Source organism: Homo sapiens, chromosome 14, assembly GCF_000001405.40.
Source record: "Homo sapiens chromosome 14, GRCh38.p14 Primary Assembly".
In the NCBI taxonomy this organism is placed as follows: Eukaryota; Metazoa; Chordata; class Mammalia; order Primates; family Hominidae; genus Homo; species Homo sapiens.
The window spans coordinates 36,267,402-36,289,867 of NC_000014.9; the positions used below are offsets into that span (position 1 = coordinate 36,267,402).

Below are 22,466 nucleotides of genomic sequence, written 5' to 3' on the forward strand. Positions count from 1 at the left end.
GATAGGCACATGCTTGGCACTGAAGAAAAACTTGCTGAATGAAAAAATGAATGAACAATTAACTAACCATATGCTATAGGAGAACTAGTGTAATCCAGAGGGGGCAATATCATTTTACAAATGCATCTTGAAATTTGACAATGATGACGTGAACACACAGATTCCACTGTCCAGGAACAATATCCAAAATAGAAACCGAAGCAAAGTGTTAAGAAAATAGACGAGGTGTTAACAATTATTTTTTTCTTTGGAAAAGTCACCTACTAACCTTGCAAGAGGCATCATTGTTGATTCATTGAGCTTTGCCCTCAAAAAGGTAAAGAAAACATCCCTAGCACAGTACTCAAAACAATAGGAAGACGAAAAGCAGTGGGAAATTTGGCCTTGCCCTTCACAGTTCCCTCGAGAATTTTTAGTTCTATTGTGAAGCCTTAGTACTCTGGCTATGACCTCTGTGTACTCCAAGATTGGGGCAGCTTTGCACATAGCTTATGGATTAAACCCTTGGGACCATCCTATAGCCTGAGCTTTAACTGGTGTCAAGAACATGCACCCAAACCTGCATATTCTTTTCTTTTGCTTTACAGGGGATGGGGACTCCTTTTTAAACCGAAGCTTTAAAAGAGAGTAGCTAGAATTTATGCTGAAGTGGAGTAACAGGCCTTTGGAGCTGAGCAGTGTCCTAATGCAGGTGAAAAGCATGTATTGATTACTTAAAGAAAGTTAAAATAAAAGCAATTTTTCTCCCCATTTCGGCACATTGCAGCTTTTGGCCTATCCACTCATAGCTAAAAAAGCATTCTTTCCTGATAATCAAGCTTCAGCTGTCTGAATTTCAGGCTGAGCCTCTCCTCCTGAGCTCTGCTGAAGAGCTGCTTTAATTAACCATTATACCACAGATGTTATTGATTTTTTTTTCAAATCTGGTTGAAACATCATTGTGCTGGATCATGGCCAAAACTAAGGCCTGAATTTGTGTGTGTGCGCTGCTTTTACTCCTTCTGCATACCTTATTAGTCTCCATGTCTGTTAAGTGCAATCCTTAGTATTAACTCAGAAAATATAGAATTGATTTTTAGCCTAGCAGCCGTGATCTAAGGGCTCCTAATTTGAAATCTGAAAACCTCAGTTGCTGAGGAAGTCTTTCTGCTGTTACTCTACACTTCCTTGAAGTAAGCTTTTTATTCTTTAATTTAAAAAAGAAATCTCCCTCTGCCTTTTACTTCTTTTTCTTTCACACACATACATTTGGAAGTTTCAAGGGAACATGAACATCTCTTTGCATTTTGAACGTGTTTGTCGTGAAAGGCCCCAGAGGCTTATTCTTCCCTGCCCTAAATGTTTGACCTGCAATGTAGATTGTATAAGATTTTGAAATTGAAGTGTCTTTAACACTTTCCATATTTTGAAGGGAAATTTGGAAGAACTTGAACAGCATTCACTTTGAGCAAATTGCAGGATATCAGAAACAACGGGGCATCTGCCTTCCTTTTACAATCCACCTTCCAGTGGGATGATAAACTCAAGGACCAAACAATCACAGTAGGTTCCTAAATTCTGATAAGGTTTCTGTGAGTTTAGTGATACATTCTTTAAATGTAATTTGAAGCTTTTAAAATACTGTAATGGCAGCTCTTGACCTTTAAAAATCACATGGAGCAAGAGGTGGTGAAAAATGTTTATTTACTCTGCATTAGTGGCTAACCTCCTGTTCCTTCCTAGAACCAGTAGTTCTTTTATACTCGGGAACTCACGCATGTCACCCTCATTCTTCCAACACGAACCAGACAGGCCCACTTGAGCTGGAGAAACAATGGCCTGTAGCCGGTCCTATGCCTCAGTGCGAAACAACAATGCAGGCCTCTTGACGAATTCTGGCGTCGCGAGTGGAATCTTGCAGTTCAACATGTCTGCTGAACAGAAGTTGGAAAAAGAAAAGATCATCTTGTAAACAATTAATTAATGTTTGTCATGAATTATCATTTTTACTTCCTTCTCAAGAGGCTCAAAGGGAATAAAAAGGCATTTTTGCAGGTGGTGGCATTCAAACTAAGGGCAATCAAAGGTTTGAGAGCTGAGGCACAGCACTCTGAGTCTCTAAGGGTGAATGGTGCTAGGATTAGAGCACAGCAGGGGGTTGAGGGCTTCAGGTGTGAAGCTTAATGTTTGTGATCAGCAAAAAAAGTCTTGAATTTATCTAAACTGCTCTTCTGCTAACAGTACTTCTAGCACATAAATGTTCTGAAACTGACAAGTGTTCTCATTGCTCTTCTAATGCAAACATGATCTGCATTTGAAAGATGCATCCCTTTTGCCTAATTTAGAATGTGCATCACAAAGAGCGTTAGATGATGACCCCACAAAGAGATACACACACACACACACACACACACACACACACACACACACACTCCATGCTGCATGCACATACACACATGAAAACTGTCTCTTTCTGGCCTAGATCTTCTCTGAAGCTCCCAGGAAGGATCCTGCAAGATTGTTTTTCTCCAGATTCCTAAACCAGAGGTTGAGAACTAGGGGCCTCAATAGCCATCTGACCAGTGAATTCCTCTGATCTTCTACATGAATAATTCCTTTTAATTTGGTTTGGATAACTGTCTAGAATTTATCGTGCTGCATTTTCATTTGCAATCTTCCCTCTGCTTCTCCCAGCATTGAATTCTATCAGTAGCAAGATATTGAAGAGTATCCAATATATGTAAAAATTTTAAACACACACACCACCAATATTAAAATTTCCTAAGGAATTATGACTAATATTTGCAACCCCTAGAACCAATGATCTTGGCAGGCATTGTTGATAGAGGTTGCTAAGTCCATATAAATACATCTGATGGTTTAATGAATCCTCTCCGTAATCAATTGTTGAACTCTAATTAAATACTCATTTTCTTTCTATATCATCAATAGAGGTCACCTACTAGGAGAGCTCTAAAGGAAATACTAAGTTAAAGATTATGAGATATCACTTAGTGAAAATGAGTCATAGGCAAAACTTAGAAGGACCAATATGAATCTTAGCCTTGAGTTACTTTTTAATCTAACCTTCCCAAACTCTCTCCTATCCCGTAGTACCCACCCATTTTCTTTTCTGCATTCACATTTCCTATTCCCTGTAGTATTCACCTGAAATCATGCAATAAACACAGGTTATTGGGGCATGAAGCCTGGAGGCCCTGAGGGATCCAGGATGACAAAGGAAATGTAGGCACAAACTTGCCTCCTTTTGTCTTGACTCTTTTGGAGCTATTAAGTCAAGTGATGCTCTGAGGTTTATAGTCACCATCCTAGACCATGTCGTGGGATTTTCCCTTGAATCCCAGCATGTAGTACAAACATGTGGGCTTAAACTTAGGAAAAAAAAACCCAGAAGCTAGAGAAGAGTTTGGGCAAAATGGGCCAAACTAGAATATTATCAGCTCAGGGACATGAAAGGAGAGTTAAAAAGTTTAGAAGAGGAAGGGATCTGGGAGGAAAGAAGGTGAGCAGAACCCCTGAGATGGAATAGACAGAAAGGAACACCTTTCCTGAAATTCCTGGCAGCTCTAGTTTGTTAACATCTAAAAGTGGATAAAATGACTTACCAGAAAAAGTAAATTAGTTTCTCAAAACTACTAAAACTCTTCAAACCTAGAGATCTACTTATTTTCTGTGGTTCCCCATTTTTTGTAAAGATGTTAAAATCCTATTAAAAGCCAAATGCCAACTGCTGTAGAATTATGTAGAAAAAAACAGCGAAAAGAAAGTAGCAATGGATATGGTGAAACTGAAAAAGACTGGAGTTCATGACACTCTCTATACCCAAAGGTATACTCCAGATTTATTACAGGTACACTGAGGTTGTTTCTAAGTCCCAGGATTCTGGACCTTGGTTAGGGTGTGTGGCTCTGCCTGTTGGTCTACCCTATGTCCACATCGTCTCTCTGAACCTGCCTAACTTTCCCTTGCCCCCTTGCTGAACAATGCTCTGCATGTGGCCTTGTCTCTAGGACAGATCATATGACTGGGGGCAGGAGGTTCCCCTTTCTTCCCTGCCACATGCTGCTCTTCATTCTTACTTTGGATGGCTAAGATAGCATTCACTGGGGCTTGAGGGGAGGGGGCTGAAAAGGTCTCAAATGAGTGAAAAATTGAAAGCCTATGTGGCTTTTATTGGTATTGGATCAATTGGTCTAGATCTAACTGGAAAATGTTTTACTGTAGGGTGAATTTTACAAAATTATGAACATTTAGCTTTAAAATAAATGGCATTGATTAATCCAGTCATTACAAATATGTGCAAAGTTGGTATCAGCCTAACACACTCCCCCTACCAGGAAAGACACAGACTGAAACATAGATGGCAATGGTTTTCACATTCTTTAAGTGTAAACAATTAGATTCCCCCAACAAGTGTTTAGCTGCAAGTTGCATTAACCCAAAGCAACAAGGAAGAGTTTCAAGGAGTAAAAACAAAGAATAGTTTTAAGGAGTATTACTAGGAATATATCTTCCTTCTACAGCAGAAAAACTAGATGGGGGGAAGTCCTCCTATAGATTGCTAACGAATGCCTCCCCCAACCACCCAAGAAGGAGTTGTTGATGGAAAGAATTAAAAATTGTGACCACTTGAACGGCTCCACTGGTTGGATCTGTCTTTTCCAAAGAGACTGATCTTTCTAGGACTTCTGTCTGCGTGAGAGGTCCCACCCACCCTGCTACCATTTTAAGGAGACCTGTGAAAGCCTCCTTATTTGGCTTCCCTCCTACTCCCCCCGTTATGCCACCACTGTGTGCTACTGCTTGAAATTAATCAAGGGCCCCTTCTGGGAAAGGGATTCCTCTTTGAGAGAAACGGAACTGGACACTTCTCTGCCTTCCGCGTCCCCTCGCCCTGCCAGCCCCTGCTCCCCAAAGCTCCCCAGACAAAGCCCCAGGACTCCCGACTCCCGCGGAAGCTGCGAGGAGCCGCAGACCTGCCCTTGCCAGACAGCTGCTGTTTGAACCCAGTTCTGACCGTAAAATCAAAAGTGGGTCCGAGGGAAGCGGTAAACACTGTGCAATGAGCCTTTTGAAGGCAGCTGATGCCTCATTTGGGGTGACATGTTGTGGCTGATGAGTGTGGATGATGTGGGGTTTTCGATAAGTGCCTCATCAGTATCCTCATCATGCTCGTGTTGCTCCGCCGCGGCGTGTGCCCTGACTTGATTGTAATTGCCCGAATCTGCTCCCGCTGCTCAGGCGCGCACAGTAATATGCAATAAAACAGCAAGAAGTGAATGTTAACCATCTGAGTTCTGACACGGCGGCTCTGCAGTTCAAGATCTCCATTAAGACCGAAAAAAAAAAGAAAAGAAAAAAAGGAAAGAAGGAATCAGAAAATTCCCAGGGTCTCCTTCTGTGATCCAAGGGAAAGTCCAGAAATTAAGGAGCTGTTTGTTTAGTCTTCTTAGGTCCTCACAGGTAGAAACTAACAGGTAGTTTGCTAGTGTTTATTTATTTATAATTATTTTTTTTTTACATCCCAGGTGTCGCTGCCCTTGCTGCTTAACTCTAATAGCAGGCACCGCTGCAGCACTTGCCCAGGTGTGGAGGGTGGTCCAGGTCTTCAGGGGAGGCAGAGACCCTCCTCGCCCCAGTCTGTCAGTGTCCTCCGTAAGCCTTCGGTTGTTTCAGGTGCTAAATATGTAAGATCCAACTTTTCAGCGAACTCAAAGAGGCAGACACCTGAAGCACTGCTTCATCAAATCACTCACTGCTTACTGGCTTGGTTTTCAACTTCGCTAACATGCAGAGTGACCTAAATGGTCTCTTCCGTTCTTTCCACAATGACCACACACCTACGGAGGTCGCCTTCTATACTTTGAATTAAACCTGCTAGTGTCAGGGACATCGGGAGAACCAACTTCTGGAAACTGAGCTGGTCCCCAGGACTGTGTATTTAGTTTTCAACTGTAAGAAAAGGAAGTCTATCTGGGAAAGGAGACCTGAGGTGAGCGTGGAGTGATCACCTTTCCTTTCTCAGATGAAATATTTTAAATGAGGGTGCAGTTTTTTTTTTTTTAATAAGGTAATTTTCTTAAGTAAAGTTAGACTTTGTACAGCCTGGATTTCAATATAGATCTGATGATAAATATGCACACTTGAAAATCTAATTTCCACATTATAAACCTACTTTTCTTAGCCTTATCCTCTCCCCTTTTCTCCCTGGAATGAACCATAATTGCTTATCCTTTTGTAGGTAACAGCTACTATCCAACCCATTGTCTACTTAGGAGCATTTCTTAAAGCGTCTCAAAGAAAATACCATATTCTTTGCCGTTTCCTGTTAATTGAGTTCTTTCGGAGCCAGTGGCGTGGTAACTTCAGAATGAGATTTTAATTACATATGGAAACTTTACCATTGTTTTTCATTTTAAAGAAAGTAGGGTTTGCTCAAAAGTATTCTTTTTTTCTCTCCCCATTTCTGGTAGCAACGTCTTTTCCGAACTTTACAAATGCTGTTTGTTTGGACTCTGGGTTTTCTTCTTGCTTAAAAAAAAGCCTCACATCTAAAACTAATCAATTCGGCCTGCACTCCCACTTGGAAACTCCTATACAGATGGAGTCTCATTAACTGTTTGAATATCTGTATCAGTAACTGTTCAAGAGAAACAATTCCAGCCCACATGGATAATTAATGGAACCCTTCACAGGAAAATACCATTTTTTTTTTTAATTTTAGATGGAGTCTCACTCTATTGCCCAGGCTGGAGTACAATGGTGTGATCTCGGCTCACTGCAACCTTCTCCTGGGTTCAAGTGATTCTCCTGCCTCAGCCTCCCGAGTAGCTGGGATTACAGGCATGAGCCACCAGGCCCAGCTAATTTTTGTATTTTTAGTAGAGACAGGGTTTCACCATGTTGGCCAGGCTGGTCTCGACCTCCTGGCCCCAAGAGATCCTCCCACCTCAGCCTCCCAAAGTGCTGGGTTTACAGGCATGAGCCACTGCACCTGGCCAAGACCATCTCTTTTAGTAACTACCTGGTCTTGCTTAGCAAACCAGTCAGGTTAAACTTCCTCCTGCCTGGGCTAGTCCTTCCGAAAAGCAGCCAGAAAGCTCCTCTTCATATGTAGCGAGTGACTGTATGTAACTGCCTCCCTACAACTGCTGCAGGCCACCAAGTCTTGCCTAAATTCCTGGTAGGTTCAACTTGAATCTTGGGTGGACACAAGAAGAGAATGAAATCACCCTGTGGCTGCTACCCTCAATAATGCCATAGGCGGCAGCCTTTCTCTTCACCCCAAGGACATGCCTCTCTCTGATAAGGATGTCCTTATCCATCATGTGTTATAAGGCAAGATTTACTCCTGAGTGGTTGGATCAAATTCCCATGTGGGGTTATCCCATTCCAGCTTTAAAAATTGCCCCTTGCAAATTCAGGTAGAGAAAACCTTTCCATTTACTTCCTGCCTTAAGCAGGTGTGCAGTGTTAGCAGCACTATGCTTTCACACAGCTGTTGCTTTTTATCCAAGAAGCGGCTGCATTTCAGAGGTGGGTGCTTCCAGAATAGAGTTCTGGCTCTTCTAATTAACTTGGCATTCTATTGCAGTTCATAGAATACGTTCCCTTAACAGGTGACATACAAATGAAGGATTTTTAATATCTTAAAGACAGACACATTAAATGAATACAATTTTAAAAGAGATTTTAAAAAGCTAAAACAATAATAATTGTATCAGAAAAGCAAAAATGGATAAACAATTTCAGTGAAAGTGTGAGGACCTTAAATCAGTGTAAGTGTGCACTCTGGGAGGAAAGATGTTAAACCAGGAAATATTATTAAATGCAGCCAGGACCCTAGCAAATTTCTTCTCAGAAACTGATGTTTGTGTCTTCTTTTAAAAATCAAAAATTGATTTTAAAGAATGTACAAAGGAGTAATAAGTAATTTAAAAAATATATTGGTACACAGTAGGTTTTTAAGATTCTGTCCTTAACTAATGTCCATCCATTTTATATGCTAGCCTAGAGAATTAGTAAATTGAAAAGAAAGGTATACAGAACTTTGATACAGAATATCTATGTACTTTTATATTCATTTAGGTATTTGCATGTGCACACACAGTGTATATTCACATAAATTTGAAGTAAAGATTTGCAAAAGTTTGTTCCCAAAAATAGTTCTCTATTGTAATTAAGAAAGAATATGAAAGGAGGAAAATTAATTCTGAAATACCAAGCGCTTTCGTTAAAAGGCAAGTTTAATCAGTAAGAATGCATTTTGGCTTTTATTTTATTTTATTTTTATTTTTATTTTTTGCATAAGTCAGCTTTTAGATAGTGCGTCTTAGTGAACCTGATTGGATTCAGGCTCATAAGTTCCGACGGAATTCTGCACAAGTTGAAGGATGTGCAAAAACTGCAACATCAACAGTTCATTTCAAAAAGATTCCAGAAAAAAAAAAAAAAAAAAAAAACTCCAAACCAAAAAGCAACCCTGTGGTAACATTTCAGCATTAAAAGCTGGGGTTGCCATGGGCACCAGAGAGAAGCTCAGTATAAGGACTGCTGCCTGAGGTTACTGGTGGGGGATGGGCATGCCTAGGATGCACAATATGTGGGGCAGCATCATCAGCTGAATGGTAGTGTCTTCATTCTATGGGGCCCCAAAAAATGCCCCATACTATTGTACTATTGCTGGTCAGCGGAAGACAATGAGTCTATATGCTTGTGATCCTGTGAAGTGAGAAATAACCAAAGCCCTAGAATTTATAGAGAGATAAACTCAAGTTCCTTGGCCAGGCGATATGACCAGGGTTGGAGAGTCAGTTGGTGAGCCCATGTAGCTGCCCACGTCCTAGTCCTTTTCCTGTATGCTGTACCTTAGGGAAGTTATTGGCCACACATCCTTTGAGGATGCAGGTTAGCTTGGGTCAGAATGAACCATAAGATGCAAATACAAACCAAAATTTGGTGAGCTCAATTTGGTAAGCTCAAAACCAGCAAAAGAGTCAGGGAAGGACTCCTTCCATAGTCAAATCTCAAATTTGGGTTTATTCAGGTAAAGCTATAGGGTCGCCTCCATATCCCCAAATAAATCACCCCTCCTGATGGAGGTCCAACTTTCCCGGCAACCTGAACAGACTTTTGGGCCAGAAATAATATGTGTCCTTGGTCTAGAAACACAACCCCGGGGTTAATAAGAGCAATCCAACTTATGACTTCTTATATCCTTTTCCATGAACATTAAAGGTTCTATTCCATAATCATTAAAGAAGGAGCTTTAATGATTAATGGTAAATTGAGAGTAAAAAGTCTGCTAGTCTATTAGTGTCACAAGGAGACTGTCTTAAAGACAATGAAAATGGTGGCTCTTACTGGTACAGCAGAGAAAATGAGCAAATACCCAAGTGTCAATGAATAAGACATTCCCATCTTTCCTAAACTTGGGACAAAAGAGACAAGCAAAGATCTGAATTTTATTCCTTTCTTTTAGCCAATAAGGAGAATTTTAAAGAAAAAGAAATTCATGGAATAAACTAGAAGTGTGCCTCAAGACAGACAAAGGGAATGCAAAATTAAATTTTTGATGTGAAAGGGAAGGCACAATGAAACCTTCTGGATGAGATACCTTTGGAGAAAATTTCAATTTCACTGTTTCTTTTCTTTCAGGCTTGCTTTATTTTTTTCACAGATATGCTCTGTGGAAAGCCTGAAAGCCTTTTTATTATTTCTTATTTTCTTTTTCTTTTTACTATGTGGTACACATTCATTTTTTTTCACTTTCCTCCCAATGTTGAAGCAGTTCCCATTTTCTAGTTTTGTTTCTGACACCTAGCTGTGACCAACAATACCTTCCATTGAATCCTTTATTTCATCTGCTCAGTTTCTCTTATTTCCTCCATCTCTCCTTTTCCTTCACCTCCTCCTTGCCTCTTATTAACCCTCACAGTCCCCAGTATATTGTGATTCTCATAAAGATTTATTTCTTTCTTTTCCCAAGCCTAACCTACTTTTCTACATAAACTCAAGTTTATATCCATGATTCTATCTAACTAAATTCATAAACTCAGCCTTTTTAGCAAACAGGAAATTCATATTAATTTATTATATAGCATATAATTTGGCTTTGTTTTGAGGGTGTTTGCAAGAAGCTATTTTCTTTAGGAGAATGGAGTATATTTTAGTCTAAGCATAGAACAGCATCACCAACAGCTTTCTAATACATTGACTTGCTAAGTCACTGACTTCTTAGGGTCTCAAACACAAGAATAGGACACGATTTAAATGTGACATGATATTCTTTGCCATTTTTTCATATGGCTTTTCTTGTGGAGGAGTGGTGCATATTCCAGTGAGTGGCATTTATGTAAAGAAAACAGATCTTTAGGGAGTTAAAGATATGAGAGATGAACTAAAATTTAAAGTTGCCCGGTAATTTCAGTGTCTTGAGCTTCTAGGCACATGGCAATGACATTTGAGTGTATTCATAATTTTTCACCATGAAAATTCCAAATGTGTGAATGAGAGTTATTTATAATACCCTCCATATTTCAGAATGTGTGCTGTATTTTTCCTCATGTTTATATTTTGATGTTATATTTCTCTGTATTAGGTGCTGAAAAACAAGGGAAAAAATGGTCTTGAAAACAAGGAATCATATTTGCCTGTGGATATGGAAGAGGTAAGCTTTTCTTTAGATAATATAAAGTCAAGTGTGCTTATTTATCAGAAAAAAAGGCTTCATTTATATCTACCAAGAAAGGAATTTTTAAAAACTCATACTTTGACTAAACATTCAGAGCTTACACTGTACTGGAGTCTCTGTAAGTTAAGGAACTTATCAGAAAATTGATGAAAGTAGCAAAATAAAAATCAACAATAGAATTTTTTACAAACATAATCAATTTGGAAATTTCTTTTTTTTTGGTGGTCTTTTCCACTTTGGAAATAAGGCTTAGGGAAAGCACTTTTAATTTTTTTCTCTTTAAAGAAACACTTCACTTTTTCATTTTTTTTTTTTTTTCCTGAGACAGGGTCTCTGTCGCCCAGGCTGGAGTGCAGTGGTGTCATCTCACAGCTCAGTGCAGCCTTACTTCCCAGGCTCAAGCAATCCTCCCACCTTTCAGCCTCCCAAGTAGCTGGGGCTACAGGTGCACGCCACCACACCTGGCTAATTTTTGTATTTTTTGTAGAGATAGGTTTTCGCCATGTTGCCTGGGGCTTACAATTCACTTTTAAAGCAAAAAATCTTTACTATTTTTAAAATGTATAGAATTAAGTCCATGAGTGAGTATAAAGTTTGAAAAACTTAGGAAAAACTTTTGGATGTTTGTGACAATGTAATCATTCATTCCACATAATATACTTTAGGTCATTACATAGAGCACAGTTAAAATAAATGAAATAATATTGAGAAAAAGACTATAATCAGGATTAAACTGAAATGTAACATATTTAAGAATCCTTAGAAACTATTTGATGTAATTTAAAAAAATATTTTGAAAGTTATTGTGTTTTCCAAATTCAGAACATGGATTAATTCTACAGGCTCATGTAATAATAAAAATCATGGAATAGAGAATTATTATTCTCCACATTATCCTAAAGTAGCCACAAAACTGAAAATCAAATCAAGCATCCAAAATGTGTTCATGCACCAAAGATGATTTTTGATACAAGTATCATTTTCAATGTCAAAACGCATGCTCTTAAAACATTCATTGGATAGTTATAACAAATGATCTTTTTATCTTAGGAACAGTTTCTCTTTTGAGTATTCTCTTTTATTTTCTTAGTTGTCACTTGCAGCATTAACTAGCATTTTCCACCAGTTGGACTTAAACAATAATGTTTTTGTTTACGCTGTGTTCTAGGAGAGATTTTTAGCATAAATGAATTACAAAGCCTGCGAATTTGGGACATGGTTTTTCCTTTATTCATGAAAGCGGAGGTATTATACCAGTAAAATATGCTTTCAGGATTGCTGAGGATATCACATTCTTTTAATAGACAACAGTAATTTTCTCCAACTACATTATGTCTCTGTGTCAGTCTAATAATTACATGCTATCAGTTTTGTGTCATTTCCTCTGGGATTCCCTGTCTGCCATGCACCACTTTTAACTGTTTCACTTTATTCAACATACTCTCTAATTGCCATATCAAAGGTTTACTTGAACTCATTTTTGTGTATAATGCGTTTGACCATAAAATCATGCATTTGCAGTTGAGTATGCATTTCCATTAAACTTATAGCTTTAAATTTCACTTAGGAGGAAAGCCTTATATTTTAATGCAGGTTTTGAATGCAGATTTACTACAAAATAAGTGAATAATAATGCCAGGTTATTTTGGAAAGTGTTCTTTTATGCAATCACTGCATTCAATACAATCACAAAATGGCTGCCCAACAGGTGGTCCTTTCAGAGTGTTAAGCCACAACAATCGGAACAAAAAGGACACCAGAATCTAATGTTCTCAGAATTTAAAAAGCTGTTCACTTTCTTTTGTTAATTTTCAGATTTAGCCATGTTCATTATTGTTGAGCCCAAATGCAGGACATTCTTTTTTGACATTTTGCCCTAAATAGACACTGACCGAGGCTGACTCTCCAACTAGCTGTTTTGTCACAGGCGAGTGGAAACTAGTCATGAACAATGAGTGTGCATTCTTGCTTCTTAAATGGCTAAGGAACGAACCAGTTTTGACATGCTGCAAATCCGGCAAAGTCTGGGTTAACAAAAGTGTGTTTGACAAAAGATGAAGTTTCTTTTCCTATATTTTCCCCAGAAGTAAGTATTTAATTATGTCCTAACACATTTTCTTATTTTTTGCCTAGAGGATTAGATGCCTTAGTGACAAGCTCATTCACTCTCTGAGGTTATCATGTGGCATTATGAACCATACCATTCAAATGCCACCTTTGGAAGAAACTATTCTTTAAGCAATAATTATTCGTTTAAGGGGAAAAGGTTTAAAAAATATATAACTTTTTGTAGTGTTACCATTATATTACAGTACTAGCATTTTATAAGCTAACGTTGTTTATGGAGCTATCAGAAAATTGATAAATGTAGCAATGTATTTTTCTAAGCAAAGATCAGGCTACATTAAATATAAGAGGAAAAACATTTCAAAGACCTTGAATTTATAAATAGATGAATAAAAGAAGGAAACAAAGAAAGTAACCTTTATGCAGTACTTAAATGTGGGACTTAAAGTATACTTTAGAGTTAGTTGTTAAATGCCCTATCCATCATTGTAAAATCTGTCACCTTTTAAATTGAGGTTTTAAAAATATCAGTATGTACAGCATGGCATCATTTATATTTCTGTAAGTTAAATAGTCCTTTGCTTATGGAAAGAGTCTATTAATTGGTCTTTGTGAGAAGGGTGTAAATACAGATTTTATGATAAGAATACTTTGAAGTAATGTATATAAAATAAATTCCTGTTCATCTGCAATAAATAAGTAGGAAAGTTAAAATAACTGAAGTGGTTTTGTCTGGGTGGCGTCATAGAAAGAGGGAAGCAATACAAATTTACATTTAAGGGTTTCATTAACAATGCAATTTAGGGAATGGCATGGGCTGCTCTAAATTCAGCTGTCACCTCTACCTTCTGCATCAGAAATACTGTTCAAAGAATACTGATGTTCAGAATGGTGAATCTGAGGCATTTGGAATTCTGACTTCACAATAATCAAAAGTAAAATTGCATTATATGTGGCAGATTTTTTAAAAACCTTTTTACGTGACTGTGTCTTAAGCCTTGATATTCAGTAATGTGTGTTTTATAAGTGGAACTTTCAGTTTCCAAGACATAGAGTCTTTAAAAAACAGTTTATTGTGATGCTCATAGCTTGTATTAGACTGGCCCAGGCAACTTTCATTCTTCAAGGATTTTAAACCCTTTTTGTTTAGAGAGTTTCAGCCTAATCACCTAAAATTCTATCTGATTTTTAAAGTAAATCTAAGTTTCTTCATGTAAATTTGGATTGGCCTCAAAGAAACTCTAGTAAGAAAGAGACCAGGAGGGTAATGGCCAGGTCAGGAAATAGCGTACACCATGCTATTCACTTCCACACACATTCCATTGGCCAGAACTCAGTTACATGGTTCCTCTCAAACTGCAAGGGCATCTGGGAAGTGTAGTCTTCTCTTGCGCCTAGAGGAAAAAAGATAGTACTGGTGAGACCCTAACAGATCCAACCACAGTGAGGTCAAATATTAGAGGTCATTTGCTTTTCCTCTCACTTAGGCATACCCACTTCCAAGATGGACTTACTTGGGCACACATCTTAAGTGTCTTTGTGACACCTCTGGTCTGTGTCATAGGCTGAGTTGATCATTAGCACTTGGGGGAAAAAAATTAAAATAATTTTCCAGTGCTTCCAAAGCATTTTAACTGATCAGGATTTTAGGGAAACAGTTTTAATTAGCTTCTGGTGGCATAAAGAAAACAATGTATCTCTATTTGTCTATTAAGCAATGGCACTTAAATTTGTTTAGATCTATGCAAGTGTCAAATCTAAACACAGAACAAAATATAATTTTGTGTAGCAAATTATAATCACAATCTATTCCTTAAAAAAGAACAAAAACAGAATCAATGCTATCAGTGTGCTATTTGAGTAGATGATGGCTCTCTCTGGGTTCTCAAATGTGTATCTATCTATTTACTTATTTTTAGCAGATGATTTTTTTTAATCCTCTGATTCAAAAGCGTGAGGAGAGATATACAAGTCTTCAATGTAAATGTTAACATCTAGTAGCATTGGAGATGACTGTCTTTCTATTATGCTTTCTATTATGCTCTTGGAGAGTTTGCATTATGTTGTAAAACTGGAAAATGGTGCCATAATTAATTTGGGTAGCTAGTCCAGCCACATAGACAGAAGCGATTCACCTGCACTTATGAAACTGATTGGTAGAGAGTATCTATTTTGCTGCTGAGACCAAATAAATTTTTCATGATATTGTTATGCTAAGTTGAACATCACACCTTTTATATTTTCCCCATTTGGCCTTGAATAAACATCAGTACAATAATAATCTAAATGGTTTGCAAGTGTCATGAGCAGTTGCCCATCTGCTTTGGACAGATTTATACAAATCAATTACATGGACATAAAAGCCAAACAAATAGAGGCAAATCAACAGAAATGAAATGGATGAACTCTTAAGTTTTGTTCATCCTATGTAACCCCTTCAGTAACCAAAGATGGATAAATTACACTCATTAACCTTGAAAAATTAGATGATTTGTACATAATATGTTTGAAACAATACCTATCTATTCCTAGTTATGATGAGTGTTTTGTCCATGATATAGTACAGTTTAATTGAAGATCTACACAAGGGATTGTTTTGATATGGTTTGTTTCTTCCTAGAGAGATTATTCCATGAAATTAGCTTGTATTTGTTTTCCACTCTGTAACCCACCTGAAAACTCCGGTTGCTCAGTTACGCTTAGGTAAAAGTGAACATTGACTGTCAGGAAGGAAGTGTGTACATATTTAGTTTTAAGATGATTTCTTAGAACGAACTGAACCTGTGGACAGGGGCTTACCCTGAGAGAGACCAAAGGAAACACTGTTTAAAATTTCCACTGGGCGTTTGTCAAGAAAGTCTTATCAAATTATGTATTATTGCCATGAAAAATTTATCAGTGAAGAGAATGTGCATGTTGTGAAAAAGGTAAGCAAAATCAGAAGCATGTAGCTTTTTAGGGAATGTTCTTATTCCATAAAAGTATGACTTAATGAGATTACTGTTTTAACCATGAGACTGTTAGGGAGATCATTGCTGGGAAGCCCTGAGGGAGGAATTTCCAGTCCTGGTTCTCTGTTTCTGTTAAGTGGAGATACTTTAGTATCTATGTGTTGGTTGTCTCCTTCCTTGCTAAGGAAGCCTCTGGTTTACAGGATCTGGGCTGAAAATCCCAGTAGCCATCCTCTCAGAGTTGCTTTGGAGAAAACAAAATAGAAAAGAATTGCTTTGGAGGAAGCCATTTTTCTGCTACCCGTTCTCCAAACTGAGATGATGCATGGAGAAACAGTCTTGTATTACAGAAAGAGAATAAGAATATTATGTTGGCATATGAAGAATGATTTTAATCCTTGACTGGTTAAACTGAAATAGACTGCGTACATTGATAGCCATATCTAGGATACCTCATCAGATGTCACCAGCTTGGACAAAAGATTCTTTGAGTCCCCCTTTTGTGCTGTAAATCTACTGTAGAAAATAACCACAGAAAAGTTATTTTCTTTTCATTGCTATCTTTTCATCTCTATCTTTTGTCCTTATTTTTCTGTGTTTCATGCTCATTTTTCTTGAGTACTTCCTCTGTGGTAGGCCCTCTGCTAAGAGCTTTGGTTTTTCATAGTCTTCCTGGCCTTCTTCCTCTAACACTTTCTTCTGAAGTGAGATGTAATGTAAATCTAGCATATTCCAAGCCTTAAATTTTTAGTTTGTTCTGACAATATGTCTGGGCAATTTTTCTAATTTTCATTTGCCGTATTTGTGTGTGTGTGTGTATGTGTGTGCGTGTGTGTGTTTTACCAGCACCTGCACACATCTTGATTTCTTAATCACTCAGGGTTGTTGCTTACCATTGTTATGTTTTCAAAGCTCTTCATGCATCAGGATTAATCCAGAGGACTTAAGCTTGGCACTGGGGGAGTTAAAACACTTGAAGAGTAGTGTAAATTCTTAATTAATACAGAAAGAAGAATCACTTATAATTTATTAAAAATATCCAATGCTGATCCAAATAATATTTTGGAGTAAATGGGTATGTAGTGAACAGTCTTCCATGGTTCCTCATTCACTGATTCTTCCTGCTGGTGTGAGGGCTGTTCAAAATAGCACTTCACTTTTTGGTTTATTTATTAAGATCCTGCACTCAACTATAAAAAATTAGCCTCCTAGAGGTGAATCACTTCCTACACTGCAAAGGAGAAATCTGCTCCTATATAGCAAAGAAGAAAACCCTGCATACATTCCTGAAACAGACAATAAAGAAAAGATCAAATACGTTTATTGCACAGCCCATTCCAAGTGTGAAATGGAGCAGATGAATGTTTAAGTAATGTGGACTGAGTGTCTGAAAGAGTGATCTTGTTACTACCCATTAGACAAGGGTAATGTCCAAGATGGGGCATGATGGGTTTTTTGGTGAACTTTTAAACTCAAAGCTCTTTAATAATTGAAAAATGGAATAGCTTGAAGAAACGTGTCTTCCCTTATGTGGAATATTATGAAAGCTAATAGCATAACTGCACTGGAAGGGACACTGAGGGAGCTTGAGTCAAGCCCTGCGTCAGGTATGCTAAAATTGCCCTGCTGTGAGTCAAAGTCTCTACTTTAATTATCTGCAAAATGCTCTGGCAGAGGGAATGTTTCTCTCCCCTCCTTCTGTTCTCATCTGGTGTACTGGCTGCTGGCTAGTTTATTAAATCAACATTTTCAAAGACTTCCCCCTTCCATCTCTAGGTAGCTAATGCCAGTTAGATTTTAAGTCTCTCAGCAAAAATTTATTCTTCAATAAACACTGCCTCTGGGACAAAGTTGTACACAAGCCTTAGTGGCCAGGAAGGAGCTAAGAGTATTGGTATGTTTTTGTCTTGCCTCTCTCTTCCTTCTCTTCCACCTTTTTCTTTGGTACCTTGCTAATAATAAGTAGAGAGGCATAAACATCCCGTCATACTTGGAAGACAAAAGCTCACACACAGCACATAGCATATCCCATGGGAAGGGCATATATTACCTTCATCACCACATTGCGCAACTAAGCAATTTTTTTGCCTGTTCAGATACAACTAGTGAAAAACATGTCAAATAAGCAGTAGTTTGGGGACTGACACCTAATCCCTACTTCTCATAACACCTCAACAATTATATAAGAAACATCGATTGTACACTCTATGTACACAACACTCTGTGGTATGTTGGATATGCAGCCTCTGTCCTCTTTACTTAAATAGATTTACTTGCTTCCTGCCTAGCTGGCCTTGTTGAGGCTGATAACCCTGGGCCAGCGCCTTCCCCACCACACTCTCCCCATCTCAGCTCAGCAGTTCAGTGCTCCATTCCCTGGAGTTTTTGGTAGGGGAGTACCCAAAATGAATGAAGTGAGTGGGGTAAAGACTCAACCACACATATTAATTCAAGATCCCTACTGGGCAGGAGGGAGGCTGCTTTAAAGGAGACAGTTCCCATGCTCTTCACATCTCAATATACGGGTGACCATTGTCTGCCCAACTAACCCTGGATTAGCCTGTGTCTTAGAAAGGGCATGCAGTCAGGGTGATGGTATCTCCCTCCAAAGAGTTTGGGGGCATAAACCTGAGTGAAGGTTTCTTTTGGGGACGGGATACCTTCTGTTCCCTATAGCAAGGAGTGTTATCCTGCCAGGCAGCCATATCTACTAAAGGCAGCTGGCTTTCAGAGGATATGATGCTGATCAAGCCTCACGCGCAAATGTCAAATACCAGGGCATGTGAGAGGGGTTGTGTAAAGTAAGTTAGTAAGTAGGCTTCTTTTCTGTAGCAGTTCATCTTTAATATTAGTACCTCTGCAAGAAGACCATCTCTTGAATTCTGCAGTTCAATGGCAATTCTGTTACGGTTGTACTTGTAATGTGCTGAAAAATTCAAAGTTGATCATCTCTATATCTCTTCATTCAAGAAGCCAGTTGCCTTTTTGCTCTTTTCAAGAGGGTAATTCCTCATGCTTTTATTTTGCCGATTAATTTTCCCCTTTGGCCTATACATTTTCCCCTTTATTCTGTTTTTACTCAAGGTTATCTCAGCCTTTCTCCTACTCATCTGCTGCCTAACTTAGCTGTTCTGTATATGTATCTGCCATTTGTTACAGAGGCAAGAACTCGGGCTTTGGAGAGGATGAGGGCAGGCTACCCAGCCCTGTCTCTTACAGAGGACTTCTCACCTTTCTGAGTCTCAAATTCCTGTCTGCAAATAGAGATAATAATACAGTAAGCTCTTTGCTTATTGTAAGGATTAAATGAGATAATGCATGAGAAGTCCTCATACACTACTCAAAATTGTTAGTTCCTGCCAGTTCTTTCTTCCTTCTTCTCCATTTTTGCCTCTTATCTATTAGTAAAAATTCACAGAATTGAATAAAATTGCAGATGTTTGCTATACAGATAATTACCTTAAAAACTATATTTAAACAGGCCATAATAAGTTATTTAAAAATGGGTTTGTGGCTTCTTCAATGCCCTTTTCTGAAATTTTTGCTTTGAGGCCTAGAGGTTAAGACCCTCTTTACAAAAATAACTTATTAACCAAATGTAATGTACCCGAGCATAGTGATCCATTCTGCACACTGTAGCCAGAAGCCAGAGTGATTTTTCTAACGTGCCACTCTGATCGGGCCATCCACCTGCTCTTCCCACCGGCTCCTTAAGCCAGTGATTCAGTGATTTGCAAGGCTTTTCAGATCTGGACCGTTCTTCACTCTCAAGGGTCCCTCTCACACTCTTCCCACCCCATCGTATGACACAGTGCTTCATGCATGACGGCTAAACAATGACAATAAGTTCAATGAATAAATGAAGACAAGGTGGTTACATTTTCTATAGCTTTGACTGAATGACAGAGTTCAACAGATGGCCTTTCTGCTGCAGAAAAAAGTTTATTAATTTTAAATATAATAATTACCTGTGTTTGGCTGGTATGAAAGAAGAGACATAATTGGGCCATTCAATCAAAATGTTTTAGATTTTTTTAAGGCAACTGTTATTTCCCCCCATAGGAATTCTCTCTTTTGTCAACTATGTGTATGGTATGTTTTTTGGAAGACATACTTCTTTACTGCAGTTCATGGCACATGGCTAGCTTTGAATGGGAATCAATTATATTAACCTATGTGTCTACGTATTAGATGTGTACCAATATTAAGAGTGGAAAGATAGAAACACCTATGTTTTCCCATGTGTTTTCATAAAAAAACTTCCAACTCCAACACAGTGGGAAAAAATATGCTGAAAAATAAAATTATTTAACCACAAATTAAATCTTGCCTTTCTGCTGGAACTGGTTACTTGGAGATGATTTTCCAGAAGAGGGAGACAGACAATACACATGATATTTAAGCAAATTATGTAGTTTGTTGGAAGAAGCTGAGTGTTACAAGGAAAAAAATATATAGAGCAGGTGAGAGGAGTCTGGAGTTGGGGTGAAGGGGAGGTGGGATGTGCCTGGATCAGGGTAGAAACCATTGTAAGGCTGCCAGATGGAGAAAAAAAGTCAAAAACAACAATAGGACACCCAGTTAAATGTGAATTTCAGATATACAGCCAATACTTTATATGTGTGTCCCATGCTAAATTTGGGGGATTTGGGGCATGTGCTAAGATGCTATTCATTGCTTATCTGAAATTCACATTTAATGGGTGCCCAGTATTTTGTCTGGCAATCCTATCCCATTGAAAGTAAGATTTCAGCTAAGATATGAGGGGATATGGAACAGTAACCCAGGAGAGCCCATCCAGGCAGTGAGAAGGCCAGTGTGGTGAGGCTCAGGAGTCAAAGGGGGCTTGTCAGACGAGGAAGGGGGGTGGTGCAGGCCAGGCAGATCATGTAGGGCCCTGTAGGCCTTTGGAAGGACTTTGTTTTTTACTCTTGAGTGAACTGAGAATCCATTGTAGGGTTTTCAGCAAAGAAGTGACGTGAACTGACTTCCGATTGTGAAGGATCATTCTGGCTGTTGTGTGAAAAATAGAGAGCCGAATGGCAAGGTCAGCAGGGGGACCACAAGGGGCTTTTGCAGTGATCCAAGGGATTAGTATGATGGCGGCTCAAGCTGGCATGGTAGCAGTGAAGCGATGAGAGAGGGTTAGATTTTGAATATATATTGAATGTAGAGACCACGGCATTTTCTGACAAAATGTATGATAGGAGTTAAAGACGGCCTCAAGGTTTTTTGACCCAAGGCCCTGGAAAGAAGGGAGTTGCCATGCACTGAGATGGGAAAGACGTGACTGGAGCAGGTCAGAGGAAAAGATCAGGAGTTCAGTCTTCAAAGTGGAGAGCTGACATGACTCCAGACATCCAAGGGGGAGATTTTGAGTGGGCCACTGGATACTGGAGTCCGGTCCAAGCAGGAGATGTAAATTTTATGTTCTCTATAATCTCCACTTAAATCAGCGTTCCCAAAGGGAAAAGACATGTCACAATTCTCTTAAGGAAATGTTTGCTCCTCCCTTCTAGCTTTAGTTAAAAAATTATCTCTTTCTTTGAAGCTGCTGCTTTGTTTAGCTTCCTGTCAACCATCCATCACTGTTGAAAGATAGGGGCTGTTTGATGCTTCATGACATTTCTTTGCTTTTCTGCTCCTTGAAACCCAGGAAAGTGGGAGAGTTGTTTTTCCTATGCTAGACTCGTCTAGTGAGATTTTTCTCAAATTTTCCTTTTCCAGCCCAATTTTAGGTACTCTTGTTCTTTTTTACTTTGACTTTTGGCTCTTTCTGAATATTTTCAGAACTTTTAAAGTAGGATTTAAAGTCACACAAGGGTCCAGGCTGAGACTTGCTGAATTCTGAGTTAATATGATATATATATCCAATAGGGAAAAGGGATAGGACCATTTGGAAAAAGAACATTTGAACCTAAAAAATCTAAGGTCCCTAAATTTCAGGGACCTAATAGCTGGGGCGAGATTGGAGAAGATAAAATCTGAAAGAAGATTTTATATCTGAATTTATTCAGAAGTGAGATTCTGATTATTTTTAGTTTTTAAAATAGCCTTGCATAGCATCAAATAATTTTAAATTACACAAGATCTTGCCAAATTGCTCCAAAAACATTGGATTAGGAATAAAGTAATTCAGTTTTAATCCTGATCTTTTAACTACTTAGCCATGAAACTTGGGTAATCTTTTAACTCTTGACATGTCCCAGTTCTCACATCTAAAAGATGAGGAATCAGCACTGTTATATACTCCTTCCCGGAGTAAGAATGAGATGTAACTCAGATTACTGTATGAGAAAGCACTCTGAAAACATAAAATATGCTACAAATTCAGTGGATTATTGCTGTATTGTCAGCAGTATCATTTTATCCAAGAAGAATTTCTTCTACTCTAATAATTAACATAAAACATAAAATTCAACTCATTGGCAAAATATAAAACAGTCAGAAACATACTTTTATTTCTTGAGGGAGAAGAGTATTCTTTCGGTAACGGTGTTTCCTTGATGAAATGAATAAGAGTTTAACTATTGAGTGATGCCTAATTTCTGTTATATTTCCCATTTGAAGTTTCAGATTTGTAATTATTGCTGAGCGCAAGAAAACATCAGGAAGATTTGTGGTTTATGGAAGAATAGGCACCTTCCAACGTTAATCTTATCTCCCTATTGCAGGTAACTAGTATCTTCAGCTGGAAATATCAAATGCAAATCTCTTAATTTGTTTAACACAGAGATTTTAATTTCCCATTCATA

The 22,466-nt window shown here is 38.4% G+C and overlaps 2 long non-coding RNA genes across 2 annotated transcripts, besides 2 other annotated features; one reads left to right on the forward strand and one right to left on the reverse strand.

Moving 5' to 3' along the window:
* Positions 1 to 1,666: 1,666 nt before the first annotated feature.
* On the reverse strand, positions 1,667 to 5,881 carry LOC124903302 (uncharacterized). Its single transcript, XR_007064116.1, has 2 exons — positions 5,018 to 5,881; positions 1,667 to 1,910 (listed from the first exon to the last, which is right to left on the reverse strand). It is a non-coding gene; the product is annotated as an uncharacterized LOC124903302 (long non-coding RNA).
* Positions 5,060 to 5,559: an enhancer, noted in NCBI's record as "H3K4me1 hESC enhancer chr14:36741667-36742166 (GRCh37/hg19 assembly coordinates)". NCBI's record gives its function as "activates a minimal SCP1, AML or CMV promoter by ChIP-STARR-seq in naive H9 embryonic stem cells {active_cell/tissue: H9 hESC(naive)}" and the evidence as "EXISTENCE:reporter gene assay evidence [ECO:0000049][PMID:30033119]".
* On the forward strand, positions 5,882 to 22,350 carry LOC107984003 (uncharacterized). The gene is made up of 3 exons (XR_429356.5): positions 5,882 to 5,992; positions 10,601 to 10,669; positions 22,282 to 22,350. It is a non-coding gene; the product is annotated as an uncharacterized LOC107984003 (long non-coding RNA).
* Positions 12,087 to 12,735: an enhancer, noted in NCBI's record as "OCT4-NANOG hESC enhancer chr14:36748694-36749342 (GRCh37/hg19 assembly coordinates)". NCBI's record gives its function as "activates a minimal SCP1, AML or CMV promoter by ChIP-STARR-seq in naive H9 embryonic stem cells {active_cell/tissue: H9 hESC(naive)}" and the evidence as "EXISTENCE:reporter gene assay evidence [ECO:0000049][PMID:30033119]".
* Positions 22,351 to 22,466: the final 116 nt, after the last annotated feature.